This window comes from Homo sapiens, chromosome 8, assembly GCF_000001405.40.
Source record: "Homo sapiens chromosome 8, GRCh38.p14 Primary Assembly".
In the NCBI taxonomy this organism is placed as follows: Eukaryota; Metazoa; Chordata; class Mammalia; order Primates; family Hominidae; genus Homo; species Homo sapiens.
The window spans coordinates 39,313,080-39,329,792 of record NC_000008.11 but is presented as its reverse complement, the minus strand read 5'-3'; the positions used below and the strand labels follow the sequence as shown (position 1 = coordinate 39,329,792).

The 16,713-nt window shown below is 37.3% G+C and overlaps 1 pseudogene across 1 annotated transcript in view; it reads right to left on the bottom strand.

Moving 5' to 3' along the window:
• The window catches only part of ADAM5 (ADAM metallopeptidase domain 5 (pseudogene)), a 102,747-nt pseudogene extending 87,586 nt beyond the window's left edge, over positions 1 to 15,161 (bottom strand). The window contains exons 1-7 of the transcript NR_001448.2: positions 15,076 to 15,161; positions 14,259 to 14,338; positions 10,288 to 10,341; positions 7,154 to 7,232; positions 6,747 to 6,823; positions 5,454 to 5,625; positions 4,515 to 4,580 (exon numbers count right to left, since the gene is read on the bottom strand). The product of NR_001448.2 is annotated as an ADAM metallopeptidase domain 5 (pseudogene) (transcript). The remainder of the gene's footprint in view (positions 1 to 4,514; positions 4,581 to 5,453; positions 5,626 to 6,746; positions 6,824 to 7,153; positions 7,233 to 10,287; positions 10,342 to 14,258; positions 14,339 to 15,075) is intronic.
• Positions 15,162 to 16,713: the final 1,552 nt, after the last annotated feature.

The window sequence follows — 16,713 nt, the reverse complement described above, 5'->3', positions numbered from 1 at the left end:
GCCAACAGCGCTTCATCTAGTGGAAATAGAAATCCTCTTCATAAGACACATTGCCAGTCCTTTGCTGCAACAGTTAGGAGTAAGATGTCTTCCACAGCCAAATTTTAGTCTGGATATTGTCCCATCAGCAGGAAAATGGCCATTCAGTTGCTACATTCTTTTAAGGCACCTATTCTGTCTCCAATTAAGATAGTACTTAATTAGTAAGGGGATTTTAAATTCAGAAGATAACCGGAACCATTTTTTTTAAGGGTAAATGCTTTAGCACGGGCCATAATAGCAGGCAATCTAGCACATTGCCTACATTAAAGGAGCCTTGCCCAAAGGTGACACAGTCTCTCCCGAGATCCATTTTTCGGGGAGCCAGGAGGATCACACAGCTTTAGGAAGTCAGAGGGGAATCACACAAGGCAGAGAAGCTAAGGTTGCATGGGTAAAGCGTGGTTAGTCCCATCGCTTAGCTCATCTGATTCCATGGTTTGAAGGACCATGCCTTCAACCATGGGTGGCACATTTAACATGGGGCCAGGATCCAGAAACCAGGGAAGGAAAAATGTCCGAGGATGCTCCCTGTCTTCTCCTCCACTCTGGGTCATATGGAAAGGAAGGAGAATAAGAGGACGCTTTTATTCTCTTTTCTTTTTCTAAATGGGTAACAAATTATCTTCAGCTTGCACCCCTCTGGAATGCACTCGGAAACACTGGCACTTCCTTAACCTCAGAACATTGAAGAAAAAAGCAACTCATTTTCTTTTCCACAAGGGCATAGCATTTTTACTAAACCTTTACAAGCATTGTAAGATCAACCCAGCTCTTTGAGCAATCATATCAGGCAGGCCCAAGGAAAATAGTTTCCCAAAATTAAAAAAGCAATTTCCAGGGGAACCATCTAAGGATCCCCCTTAGTTGGGGCCCCTTCAAGTTCGCTTCTGATTATAGGACCTTAAGCAAATAAAGGGAGACTTAGGCTGATTTTCTGATGACCCTGATAGGTATATAAAAGCTCTCCAAAATAAGAAGTAATGTCATATTGGTCCTAAGTCAGACCCTCACTGCAGCTGAAAAGCAGGCAGCTCTGCAAGCAGCAGAGAATTTTGAAAATGAACAATGTGTATCTCCCATAATACACCAAAAGGTAAGAAAGCAGATTGGGAAAGTGAAAAAGTAGTAGAAACACCATTCCCAATTGGGAGGGAAGCAGTTCCAGTAGACAACTCTAACTGAAACCCCAATAGCTCAGGAGCTAGATGGAAAAGAAAGCACTTTTTAATATGCATTTTAGAAGGCCTATGAAAAACCAGGACCAACCACTCAATTACTCTAAACTATCTATAATAAACCAAAAGCCAAATGAGAATCTTGTAGCCTTTATGGAAAGGCTGAGAGAAGCACTAATAGAACACGCCTCTTTATCCCCTAATTCAGTCAAGGGACAGCTCATCCTGAAGGACAAGTTTATTACACAGGCAGCTCCCAATATTAGAAGAAAACTACAGAAGCAAGCTATAGGACCAAATAGCACCTTAGAGAACTTCCTGAAGGTGGCCACTTCAGTCTTTTATAATAGGGACCAGAAGGAGGCCCAAAAGAAAGAAAGCTCAGAAAAAGGACAAAGTCTCTAGCAGCAGCTTAACAGGCTTGCAAAGTCCAGGATCCCCCAGGTGCATCGGCTAATTGCTATTAGTGTGGCAGGCCAGGGCATTTTAAGAAGGAATGCCCAGGCAGCAAGATGAAGCCACCTCAAACCTGTCTAGTTTGTGGCACAAACCACTGGAGATGAAACTGCCCCCAGAGGTGGAGGTTACTGGGTTCAGAAACAGTCTCACAGATGGTCCAGCAGGACTAATGGGTCCCGGGGCTCAAGCCCCAGCTCCAGCAGCTCAAACTGCCATTATAGCACAGGAGCCCCAGCTAATTCTGGAAATTAAAGAAAGGAAAGTAGACCTCCTTCTAAACACTAGAGCCAGTCTCTCTCTTTTCTCGTCTCTAATCCAGGCCTCCCCTCTTCCCATAGCATGACTGTAAGGGGCATCTCAAGGAAAACTCTAATCCAATATTTTTCTCAACTTTATTTGCAGTTAAGAGGACCTATTAACACATGCTTCCAAGCCATTGTCATGATAGTTCTACTATTCAAAAAAGCCTCCAAGTTAACCCTAGGAAATAATTTAACTATGTGCACGCCACATAAAGTGGCAGGATTACTGTCCTCTAGGGGGAGCTCTTCTTAGCTAACAAACAGTGGTTAAAGAAAGAAGTGCGTAAGGCTGAATAAACAGTAGTCACTCTCCCCAGGCACAGGCACTCAAATAGCTAAACTAATAGCTCTGACAAGAGCACTTGAATTAAGCAAGGGAAAAATAGCTAACATTTATACTAACACTAAGTATGCTTTCATAGCTCTCCATGCTCATGCTGCCATTTAAAAGGAAACACATTTTCTTACCACCAATAAATCTCCTATAAAATGTCACCAAAAAATTAGCAGGCTATTATCCTCAGTTTTTCTATCACAAAAAAATAGCAAAAATGCACTCTGAGTAACATCAAAAGGAAACAGATAAGGTAGCCAAAAAATATAGGTTAGCTGATCAGACAGCTAAGTCAGCGACAAGGAAACTTCAAGGCATTAACACGCTTCAAGCCCTTCTAATCTAGGAACGCTCCATAAGAAAAATTAACCTCAGTATTCCCCTGCAAAAATAAAATAGGCCACTTCTCAAGGGCATACTTTTCAGCCTTCAAAATGGCTATGGTCAGAGAATGGCAAACTCCATTTTCCAGCTTCCGGCCAATAGAAAGTCCTTAAAATCCTTTACCAGGGGCCAGGCATGGTGGCTCACGCCTGTAATCCCAGCGCTTTGGGAGGCTGAGGCAGGCAGATCACCTGAGGTCAGGAGTTCAAGACATGGTGAAACCCCATCTCTACTAAAAATTTTTTTAAAATAGCTGAGCGTGGTGGTGGGCACCTGTAATCCCAACTGCTCAAGAGGCTGAGGCAGGAGAATTGCTTGAACCCAGGAGACAGAGGTTGACCCAGTGAGCCAGTGAGCCAACCCAGTGAGCCAATACAGTGCCACTGAACACCAGTCTGGGTGACAGAGTGAGACTCTGTCTCAAAAAAAAAAAAAAAAAAATCCTTCACCAAGCTTTTCACTTGGAAAAGGATAAAACTTATCAATGTGCTCAAAAATTGTTTTCAGGCAGAAAACCTCTAAACTGGTTAAACATATAACCTCTCTAGCTCACTTCCAACAGGAACCATCTTTATTTAACCCAGGAAACTTAGTATTAGTAAAAACTCTTATCTCTCTCTCCTTAATAAGCCAAGCTGGGAAGAGCCCTACACTGTTCTTCTTTCAAACCCCTCAGCAGTAAAAGTTACAAAAATCAACTCCTGAATACATCACACTCAAGTCAAAGCCTGAAAAACTGAGGGAGCAACCCCTGACAGCCCAGAAAAATGTCCAAAATATCAAAGTGAAGAAATAGAAGATCTTAAGCTAAAAATCATAAAAAATAAGTAACTAAGTGAGGACTACTCATCTTACTTAGCCCCACTCCTACCTCACCAGATACTTTTTACTGTTTCTAACCTTTCCTCTCAAAGTTCACCACCGAATATTAAAACTTCTTTTAAATGCATATTTGCAGGGAGATTTAATTATACATGGGATTGCCTTTATAACTTTGTAAGTCCCCAAAGGGAAATGTTAAATCTTGGCAAGTAAATAAATTATTGTTCTGCCAATCATAACTATATTTTTAAAAAATGAATATTAGCCATACATATATTTTTTATTTTGCTAACCATTGTTCATGGTGTTTTATTTCCTTACGGATTGTAAGCCCATTTATGTATGGCTGATATTAATCTGTAGGAATCCTGAGGTATTCTGCTTGAAGTGACATTCCTCCAGATATAAATACTATTTGCTTCCATCATGCACCCTCAGCTTTTACCAATCTGGGACAAATGTAGCCTCATGGATTAGAATCCTAACCACATAGGTAACAAATATTCGGAGCCTAAATTCATAAGAGATCCAAAGTATAGTCATGAATTCTCAATATGAGTATTTTATTCATTGGTTTTTCTTTTTGTTTCATTCACCTAGAACTGAGAAGAAAACAGGTGATAATATGTTTTCTCCTTTTGCTTTAAAGAAGTGGCATATTTGTTTTGTAGACCATCCTTCCAATTAGACTGAGACAGTTAAATATTATTATTGTATATGAGGGTTGAGGGCTTAAGGGAGTTGTAACCTATCCTTTCACTGAGGATGTAGGTTTTTTGAAAAATCAAAAATGTCAACAAGCTTTAGAAATTAAGATGCTTCACTTTGCAAAAGTGAGTAGATGCTGTATACAAAATAACAAAAACTTGATTAATTTGTATGAATGTGTTCATCGCAAACGTAAAATAGAATGGTTGGTAATTTCCATTGCCTCACTGAAATCAAGTTAAAGAGATATATTAATTTTAAAATAACAATGCATAAAGTAAGACTTACCAAATTTTTGTCCACAACAATATGCATTTCAATATATCGAGGGAATAACTTAATAAAGTCAGTTTTCTGAAAAACACACATGAGTCATGAGGAGCTTACAAAAATTTACCTTCTACTGAAATTATATTGAGAGATACACTGAAAGATACATTGCTCCTGATTACATAACGAGGCTGTTTTCAAGTACAAAATTAGGTGCTATTCAGAAGATTCCAGTTCAAAGTGCCCTGGGTAGTAAGACTTTTCTATTAGACTTCTCAAGATACGTAAAAACTCAGGAATCTTTTACTTTTATAATAATTGAAACTGAAATTTTCAGTTTATAACATACAGCTTTGGTTTTTCTTAGCCTTTTGATAATTTTCATACTAATCTTTCACGCAAGCAGATTTTCTGCTACCAATTACTAGGAAGTTACTTCTGGCAAACAATGTAGTCTAGAAAAATATTAAAATTTACAACCAATGGCAATTTGCTAGAGCCAGACATGTTATTTAGAGCAGTCTATAGGTCTTGGTAGAGAAAAAAAATCATCACTTTGCTTTACATGTACTTTATGTAAGTTGCTCATCCATTTTTGAACTCTCAACTGAGAAATCCAGGTTGTATAATATTCTCCCCTAAATTTTCTGAGTAATTGAAGAAAAAATATTTTACATTAATTATCTAAATGTTCACATATGAAAATTAATGTTTCAGTTTCTTTTATACTATATTCATATCTTTATATTTCTAAGATTAAGTTTTTGCTAAGCTTTCATCTAACGGCAAGCATAATGACAAACATAAGTTTATTCTCTTGCCATTTTAAAAGTCATGTAGGGCCCTCATGAAGAAGTAAAATAGTTTTAAGATTTGTAAGTCACCAAATCTTGGCTCTGAAAGTATTTTTTATTACACAAAATTATACTAAATTAAAATAAAAGAGTCAATACTTACTTCTGAACTTTTTCTGACTTGATACTCTGAATTAAACCAAGTATAAGTGTCATTTTCTTCTAAGAGAATATTAGTGTCAGCATATTTTTCTTCATAAATCTTGTGTATAAATCCTGATACAGCCTCCATCGGTTCAATTCCATATGAGATGTTTTTCAGCTGCATTGTTCCCCTGAGTGTTAAGACAATCGAAACAAGTCTGAAATGATTCTACTAAAACCATAATTTTTTTCTTTTTTTCTTTGAGACGGAGTCTTGCTCTGTCGCCCAGGCTGGAGTGCAGTGGCGCGATCTCGGCTCACTGCAAGCTCCGCCTCCCGGGTTCACGCCATTCTCCTGCCTCAGCCTCCCGAGTAGCTGGGAATACAGGCGCCCGCCATTACGCCCAGCTAATTTTTTGTATTTTTAGTAGAGACGGGGTTTCACCATGTTAGCCAGGATGGTCTCGACCTCCTGACCTCGTGATCCGCCCGCCTCGGCCTCCTGAAGTGCTGGGATTACAGGCGTGAGCCACCGCGCCCGGTCTAAAACCATAATATTATAACGAGAAATTTGGGCCACAGTTTTTAAGATCTAAAGTGACCTTAGCTTTTTTTTTTTTTTACTTTTATCTCTTTATCTTTTGGGGTCTTTCTTACACCAGAACTAGACGACTATATCACAGGATACATATTACCTTACATTACAAATCTGTGATTATCTTCAAGAAAGCATGGTGGTGGCATGGATCTGTGCACTTAAACAGGTTGAAACCCCTTTCTATTATGTATATTTTCTAACCAGCCTGTAGAATCTCTAGGCAGTCTCTTCTTTAGTCTTTGATTCCTTCTCTTTGATACACTTAACTCTCCTCTGACACTTGATACCCTAAATCATTTGTTTGTGTGGGCTGGATTGAAGGTACCATATGCCTAATAATGACTGACTGCAGAGCCAGCGTCCATTAGTCCCATGCATTCCACAATTGTCAATTTTTCTAGGACATTAGGAAATTGGACAATAACAGAATTTGAGAAAACTAAAAAAGTATGAGGAGACCAATCAATCTCCCTACACTCAACCTTTCTTAAAGCCTAAAGCAGCAGATCCTGTCAGTATCAACAGGTAGCCTCTCATCAGGAACAGATACTGCTAGAATATCAATACTATTTTATTAGTAATTTTGGTTCAGTCCTTAAGGAACTGAAATATAACAAAGGTGATTATAGAATTAGAACAGATACATGGAGAATTAATTCATAGGCTAGCAGGATATAATACTGGCAAATTGAGTATCTTTAAGTAGTCTACAACCTGAGTCCTGAACATACGCTGAGAGTCACAAGAGAATTTGGAATACCCGCAACATATCCATTATAATTGCAATCCATCTAGGAAAAAAAAAGAAAAATTAATGGATAACTTATTTTTAAAATAAACACCCCATATATTTTATTTATATTTATTTATATGTATTACTTTATATTTTTTATTTATTTTTTACTTTAGCTACATTTACTATTTATTACTTTAGCTACATTTCTACTTTAATATGATTGGCAATTACCTAATAAATTTGTGCCATGTAGAAATAAGCACCAGCCCAAGTTATTCAATTTCAGCGAATATGTAAAATAACATTCTAGTTATTATAGAATATTTGTCTTTTTAAAGAAATCTAGAATTACAAATACATAAGAAAAAAATAACCTAATTCTTACCTGAACTAGCAGAGGTTTGGAATGACGGATGTCATTTTCGTCATAAGAATTAATAACAGAAGCTGAAGATAAAATTGATCTAGGCAAAAATAATAAAAACATGCTCAAGTTGTGAAACCAAAAAGGTAGAAAAAATATTCTTATACAAATTTTCTTTTTACTGAAAAATTTAAAGTAGTGCTAATCGACTTGTTTTATTATTGTCCATGCATTTCTAGCACTTAAACTGAATTAGGTGCTTAGTGAGACATTTTAACTAGAATAACATACAATACAAAAATGCAGATAAGTGAGCAACTCAGATTGCTAGAGACATGAAGAGGAAATAGCATAGGTCCCAATTTCCAGCATAGAACTTTCTAGTCTTTGTCTATTTCACTCATTGATTTTAGATTTTATACCAAAGTTTCAAAATTAAAGTGTAAGGTTAGGACAGTGATACGGTTTGGCTCTGTGTCCCCACCCAAATCTCATCTTGCGGCTCCCATAATTCCTACATGTTGTGGGAGGGACCCAGTGGGAGATGACTGAATCATGGGGGCGAGTCTTTCCCATGCTGTTCTTGTGATAATCAATGGGTCTCATGAGATCTGATGGTTTTAAAAACGGGAGTTTCTCTGCACAAGCTCTCTCTTTGCCTGCTGCCATCCACGTAAGAGGTGACTTGCTCCTCGTCTTCCACCATGATTGTGAGGCCTCCCCAGCCATGTGGAACTGTAAGTCCAATAAACCTCTTTCTTTTGTAAATTGCCCAGTCTTGGGTATGTCTTTATCAGCAGTGTGAAAACAGACTAATACAAACAGAAAATGTAGAAAGAGTTACTTGTTCTCACTACAAATTCATATTTGCTAAGCTATGCTAAGGGCCAATTTCTTCTCAATAACTCCGGTCAGAATTTTATTTCCCTCAGTAACTATTCAAAAACTTGAGACTACTCCTGTCACTCATCCCACAAAACCCCCATGTTCCCTCACTGTCAGATCACCTGTTCCCATCTGCACTCCTTATCTTTATTGCCAGAAGATTACTGCTTTCATTCAGAACAAACCCTTACACTGGTGCTACAGATACCATCCTGTGCCATATACGGAGGACACTACTTTTTCTATCCTATAATTTTGAACTCTTATGCTCTACTGGATTTTTATCATAATGCTATTTAAAATGATACTAATAAGTCATTATTATCCTAAAGAACTCTTTCTTGACCCCATGTTCTACTGTAGCTATTCCTTATGTACATGTTTTTCAATTCTTAACAGATTTCATCAAAAGAATTGTCTACACACAATTCCTTCACTTTCTCAATTCTTATTATCCCTAAAACTTCCCTGGAAAAGATCCACAAATATTAGAACGCCAAATCCAAAAGGCATTTTAAAAAATCATTGTTACATTGGACCTCTAGCTTCTTTTTGAAAACTGTGGCCACTCAGTCCCCTCACTTAATTTACATAACACTTCATTCTTCTGCTATTCTTCCTACCTCCTTGGTCCCTCCAGCTTTATCTTCCATGTTGGCTGCTGTTTTTGTTCAACCTATCCCAGGAAACATTGCCGTTTCCCAGGGTCCAGTCTTTAGCCACGATCTATTTATAAGCACCCTACGTAAGAGCACTCATTAAAAAAAAAACACAGCCAAGCTACTGCTTTCTGCTCAATCTATATACCTATAGCTAAAACTATTTTCCAATATTCCTATTGAATATTTTCAGAGATTCAAATTTCCTAGCCACATATGGCCCAGGATGGCTTTGAATGCGGCCCAATGCAAATTTGTAAACTTTCTTAAAACATTATGAGATTTTTAAATTTTTTTTTAGCTCATCAGCTACCATAAGTGTATTTTATATGTGGCCCAAAACAATTCTTCCAGTGTGGCTCAGGGGAACCAAAAGATTGGACACCCCTGATCTAGAGGAAAAAACACACTTGGATATCTCATATGTGCTAAAAAACCGAAATCACCCCTTCCTCACACAAATATATCCCCTGTTCATATTCCTCAGTTAATTATGCTATAGCCTATTCATTTTCTTGAGCGACAACTAAATTATCTGAAATTCCTCACTGTTTACTAATCATTCTACCAAATCTATATTGAGGTCCACCGATTTTTCTTTCAAGTGCTATCACTGGTGCCATCATTCAAACCACCACTGTTACTCACCTAAACTGTATCGTGATATAATTGATCACCTTAACTCTAATTTGTCCCCTCAAAAACAGCCTAAAAGACTCAATGTGGCTACATAAGTACATACTTAAAACCATTTTTGGCTCCCAATATCTGACCATGGCATTCTGAATCTTCTACAGCCTGGCTCCTACCTACCTTTCCCGAATCTTTTACCTCTATTTTTCAGAAAATTTGTGCTTCAGTAATTCACATTGACTATGCACATCAGAAAAGCCACTCTGTCTCACACCTCTGTGCTCTACCATGATTTCTTCTCGAAACAGAATGTTGGCTGGGTGCAGTGGTTCACGCCTGTAATCCCAGCACTTTGAGAGGCCAAGGAGGGAGAAATGCTTCAGGGCAGGAGTTCAAGGCCAGCCTGGGCAACATGATGAAACCCCATCTCTACTAAAAGTACACAAAATTAGCCAGGCATGGTGGTGCACACCTGTAGTCCCAGCTATTTGGGAGGCTGAGGCATGAGAATTGCTGGAACCCAGGAGGTAGAGGTTGCAGTGAACCGAGATCACTCCACTGCACTCTAGCCCGGGCAACAGAGCAAGACTCTCTCAGAAAAAAAAATGTCCCCCTGTCCTGCCCCTCTACTTTATATAGCTCTGTCTCCTCCCTTAAGATACAAGTAATCTCTTACCTCTTCCATAAAAGCCTTTCCTGACTTCCAAGTAATACTATTTACACATTTATCATATTACCATATTATAATAAAATTATTTGTTTTTCTATTAAGGTATCTGAATGTATCTTTCTTTATTATAAATTCTTTAACAGTGCAATATGTTTTATTCTCTTTTGCATGCCTAGGACTTTACTCAGTACCCAGTATAGAGTAGGCATCAATATATTTGAATCAAAATGATTCATTCTACTTATACATACTTTTAGAAATTAAGAAGCCAAAGTATTAAAATTTGAAAGGACAAACTAATTACTTACTGCTTTTTGAGATGGACAAAATATGGCTTTCCCTATGGTAATCATGTAAATAACCTATAACAAAATTATTAGAAAAATTCAATAATAACACATGCCAAATAGTGTATCTTCTCCAAATTAGAGTTTAAAATATTGACAAAATTAATAACAACCTGTAACCATTATATTGGCTTTCCTTCCCACACAGATACTTGGAGCTTCAGAATTCTGCATTGAGAACTAAGTGATAAAGCACTCACTTGCCTGCTATTCACTATTACTCACACCTCTGAGGGAGAAGCTTATCTGATGATTATTGTCTTTCAGTTCAGACAGACCCCATCATCAACTCACAACTAATTGTGAGGACCCATTGGTTGCTTACCTAGAGCTCTCCTGGAAGGTAAATTGTCCTACTCATTGAAAGAGACCCTCCCAAAAGATATAAGTACAAGAAATGTAATATACTTCTAGCAATATAACATCAAAAGCCATTGCATTTTACTTATCTGTGTGAGCAATCAAACTCCTCTGGAATAGAATGTAGGAGAGAATACAGGGAGACTAAAGACATGTCTAGAGAACACCATAGAAGATAACAGAAAATGCAATGGTCATTAAATTATGTATTTGGTTAATTTAAGAAATAGCATTTAACAGTTTTCAATTCCTCAACTTTATACTGGAGCATAACAAGCTACTTTGATTCAGGTAAATGTTCTGTGAGGAATCGGTTGAATGGCATTGTGAAAAGAAGTATAAGTGGAATTTGGAAGGGACCTTTAAAATTGTGCCCTCTAAAATCCTTTGATATTAAACAAATAAGATTAAAATTAAAGGATAATATGAAAGCAACAATAAAATTTAAAATCCACATATCTTACAAAGCTAAAACAAAAAAAACTAAAATAAACCAAAAATGTACAAAACCAACCAATAGAAGGAAAAAACTCTCGAAAGACACATTATCCAGAGCCTCCACATCTTTTCATATACAATATCCAACTGATATAAGCTGAATTGTAACCCCCCTAAAAATTCATTAGATGAAATACTAATCCCCAGCACCTCAAAATGTGACCATCTTTGGAGATAGGGTCTTAATGGCTGATGTCATTCTTAACTGTGAGAACCATGAAAGTTTTCCTATTAAATCAGGAACAAGGCAAAGGACTTCCCTTCTCTCCGGTACTTTTTAATATCACACTGAAAGTCCTAGCTAATGCAATAAAGCAAAAAAAGGAAATAAAATGGATACAGATTTGCTAGAAATAAATGTGTGTCCTTATTCACAGATTACATGATTGTCTATGTAGAAAATCTGAAAGAATCACCAAAAAAAAAAAACCCTGGAACAAATAAACAATTGTGGCAAGGTTGCAGGATACGAAGTTAATATTAAAAACTCATTATCTTTCCTTTGTACCAACAATGAACAGGTAATAAGTTAAGTGAAACACACAATGTCATTTACATTTCACCCTGAAAAATGAAATGCTTAGGTATAAATATAGCAAAATATATATTTATGAGAAAAACTACAAAACTAATGCAAAAACTCCAAAAGAACTAAATAAATGGAGGGATATTCCATGTTTATAGATATAAAGACTCAATATTGTCAAGATGTCAGTTCTTTCCAATGTCATCTATAGATCAATGTAATCCCAATGAAAATATCAGCAAGCTATTTTATAGATACCAACAAACTGATTCTCAACTTCATATGTAGAGCCAGAAGACCCAAAATAGCCAATATAATATTGAAGGTGAAGAACAAAGTTGGAGAATTGACACCACCCAACTTCAAGACTTAGTATAAGGCCAGGCGCAGTGGCTCACACCTGTAATTCCAGAACTTTGGGAGGCCAAGGCAGGTGGACCACCTGAGGTCAGGAGTTCAAGACTAGCCAGGCCAACATGACAAAACCCTGTCTCTACTAAAAACACAAAAATTATCTGTGCACGATGGCGGGCACCTGTAATCTCAGCTACTCAGGAGGCTGAGCCAGGAGAATCACTTGAACCTGGGAGGCAGAGGTTGCAGTGAGCCAAGATCATGCCACTGCACTCCAGCCTGGGCAACAGAGTGAGACCCTGTCTCAAAAAAAATAAAAGATTTAGTATAAATTTACAGTCCTCAAAACACGGTGGTGTTTGCAAAATCATAGACAAACAGTTCAAAGAAATAGAGATCCCAGAAATAGATCTACATAAATATGGTCAATGGATCTTTGACAAAGAAGCAGAGGCAAAACAATATTTTTAAAAGACAGTCTTTTCAAAAAAATTGTACTAGAACAACAGTATTGCCACATGCAAAAAATAAAAATAAAAAAGAATCTAGACACAGACTTTAAATCCCTCACAAAAATTAACTCAAAATGGACCACACGCCTAAATGTAAAATGCAAAAACTGTAAAACTACTGGAAATGTTCACTAGAAAAAAAGAATAAAATACATTGGGTGTGACCACTGTAGAAATTATGTTGCGATCTAAATGAAACAGACTATAACTGCAAGCAAATTCTACAAAACAGAGAACTGTTAGGGGAAGTCAAATCATCAGGAAGCTGTAATTTTAGAAGGAAGTATGTAATTTAGATGCTTATAATTTATTTCAGGTGAACAACAAATAATTTAGTATAAGTAAGCCTCATGTAGTATTTCTCTTTTATCTTTATGTACACATGCATTTAACTGGGTATTCTGTATTTTTATTTACAAAATCTTATAACTGTACATCCTTAGGCACTTTTACTTTCGCAGGTCCTACCCCATATGATACCAAACATATTCAAATAAAATCACATCCCACAATAATTATAATTTTCTGTTGCTAAAATATATTACAATGTAAATTTTTAAATCATTATAGTTAAAAGAAACACACTGAATTTCCATATTACAAATGCCTTTATAAAAATTCTGGAAATTAGACAAGTGAGGAATTCAAAGATTATCAGTGATAAACAATGGAAAGGGAGAGTTGGCATTACTGATCTCAGGAAAAAGGAAATTAAACAAAGATGTAATGTCACCTCTTCTTTCCAATCAGAAAGGGAAGCTGTCATAGGGCTCATACACCACAGCATAGCTAGTAATTCACTTGGGAGGCAGCGTGGAGGGGTGTTCAAAGCTGCATGATAAGCATGTTGGTAAATAAAACTCAGCTACTAGAGGAAGAAAAGGTAAAGAAAGGGTATATGGGGAAGGGGAAAAGATATAAATAGTATATCCTTATGTGAAACAGAGAGGAAAGATTTCTGAAACCACTAAACGGAAAAAAAAATTTGGAGGCCTATAATTACTAAATAACAATAGATTATCTTATACTGGAAGAAGCCATGTGAGAAGTATTCTCCTGCTGAATTATTAGAGAAGGACCATTCACTACCATCCAATCTCGGACTGTGAAATTGATGTGATCATTAACAGATAAGCCTGCCCAGAGGTCATCACTATTCAGATCCTCACTGACTTAGTAAAAGCTAAGACAAATCACTAGGGGATCACTAGGGCTAGAACTAGGATACCAGAAAACTCAGTTATCAAGATAAATCATATCTTAATGCAACCTTTTTAAAAATCAATGCAAAAAAACACCATGATGAAAAAAATACCAAAATTTTCAAGACAGACAGGATCTGATCCTGTAGTTACATGATTCATTTCACTTGCCTCACCCTAATCCTGGTCCTGGGGGGATCCAAGTTTTCTGCTACCTCCTTAAATTTCAAACTTGGGGGATCCTATACCTAGCATTTTGGCCCCAAGGGATCTTATCCCTAAAATCCTTCATCATCAACAGAAACACACACACACAGTCTCACACATTCGTAAACATCAAAATGCTCCCTCTTGTGAACCTGTTCTCAGCTGTCAGCTCTGCCTCCAAGAAGTGCAATCCTGCCCACATTCAGCACCTTTGGTCTTGACATTAAACGCAACTTGAACAACATTTCATAGTAAAAATATTATTAAAATTACATTATGTTCTGGATCTGTTTTTGCATCCGATGATGAAATCTTCTCTGGAATTGTGGTCTGCAGGAAGATTTTATGAGGATCTAAAAATAAATATAAACTATGTTATTTTGATACCTGTGGTCTTATGTTATTCATTTCTAACTCTGATTCTGCATTTGTTTCTCTACATTAGCAGCTATTTTTAAAATAATCTACACATCTCGCCCTTTCCACTGTCTTTCTAGTCATTCTTACCTACAAATTTCTGACCCCTGGTCAAGATCTCAAATTTTTATTCCCATTCTCCCCTGCAAATCCCTCTCTCAACACACACACAGACACACACACACACGCACAGTTGGCACTGGCACAGCTAAGTTAACACTAAGTACCAGATTCAGTGTTATAAACAGATGTGGAAATGAGAAAACACAGATGCATCAAGAAAGGTTTTGCAGGGACAAATATAGAATATTGAATACAAGGATGATCTGCACTTTTCAATGGGGCAGGTGGAGGATAACAGTTGCCAAATCAGTAAATCCTTGATAGATAGCTTTTTTTACAGTGATGCAATTATTCGTAGAGTAGCAGAATTTTGTATGTGGAAAAAACCACATATTTCATTTTTGTTCATTTTCCGCATCAGGAAGCCATCCCAGAGAAGTTAAACGATTTTCTGTCGGAGGCTGCCTCTCTGCCTTTTTGGCCACAGACCTTGAAGCAAGGGGCCAGGAGAAAGCGGGAGAGCGTGGAGCCAGGGTAAAGTCTGGGCTGGACCTGGGCCGTGGAAAGAGTGAACAAGGTCTCCCTCGGAAGCCTGGATTCCTGGACTTACTGAGGTCTGCATGCATCCCACCAAGTCCAGTGAGAAGCACCAGAAGAAGGAACATGGCTCGCTGTCTTAGAGCCCTGGCGATGAACAGCAGTTGAGACGTTGAGAGCTGGAGAGGCGCAGCTCGCGCAGGGCTGAGCGCGCGTGAGGCGGCCCAGGAAGGCTGCGGAGAGGAAAAGCGCACAGACGAAGCGGGAGGTGATTGGAAGTAGGTAACGCGCTGCTGGCAGGCAGCTGAGCACTCAAGAGAAGCGTCTCAGCATTGATACGCCAGTCAGTTTATTGTTAAAAAAGAAAGGATTCCTAATTGTCAATTCTCAGGTTAGGGTGGTGCCTGGTGACGCTTTTGCTTATATCTTTTACTTAGACCATCGCTTTTTTAATTAACTTCCAGTTACAGTGAGAAAAGAAACAAATATAAACATATTCTGGTTACTGACAGCAATCAAGTTTCTTCCCATTACATTAATATACCATGCAAACAGTTTAGCTAGAACCAGGCAAAATGCATGTTTGCAGAAAATGTTGCAAACGCTGTGATTTTAACATTCCATGGCTGGGGACACCATTATAGGACAGCTATTGAATGCCGAACAGCCCATACAGTCCCTGCTCAGACGGACTTCCAACAAATCTTCTCTAATGTCCCAAACTATTACTGCTACATTCTGTGTAATCCTGCAATCCCTAGCTTTTACTTCTTTATTCAGACCTTTTAAAATTCTGCCTCTAGCAGAAGCAGAAACAGTTTAGTTTATTGGGGTCCATAGGCACTCTTTCCTTTGCAGGTCCTAGCACACATCATATTAAATACACTAAAATACAGCCACATCCCCACATTAACTGTAAATTTTCAGTAAAAATCTGAAAGCGTGTTTATAAATACGCTTTGAAATTACTTGGATGCAAATCTAAGGGACGTTATCAGCAGAACAATAACAAAAATATTTAAAAAAAGAACCAAGAGACAAAGAAGTAAAGTCACAAGACATGAAATTAATAGTAGAATGGATACAATTGCTTAATGAAGCAGAAATTTGGAATATCAGGTTGGCAAACTCTGACAGAAAAGAACAAGGAAAGAAAAAAAGTAGGAATGCAAAAATAAAATTAAGTTATATGGAAAATAGAAATAGAACTGCCTGTATCTAGAGAATAGCATTTCCCCACCAAAAAAGAGAAAAATCAAAATAGGAGGAAATATTTAAAGAAATAATGGAAAAAGTTTCTGTACATTTAAAAAGTTAGAGAATGACCTTAGATTGAAAGAACCCAGAGATTGCAAACTGGGCATTGAAGAGGAAAACACACACACACACACACACACACACACACACACACACACCTGAAATTTAAAATGATAACAAAGAGAAAATCCTAGAATCTTCTAAAGGAAAAGAACAGGTTGCCTACCAAGGAACAAGAATCAAATCAACATTCATAGCCATACTGAACACATGAAATCAATGGGTTAATATTATTAAATTGTTAACTGAAAAGAAATCTGAAATATTATTCAAATGTGAGGGCATGAGTTTTAAAATTCTCTTCAATATATAAATTCAAATAAAATTTGACGTAAAAATACATATCAGAAAGGCATTTCGTAGAAGAAACCACATGATAAGGAAAACAGAAGAT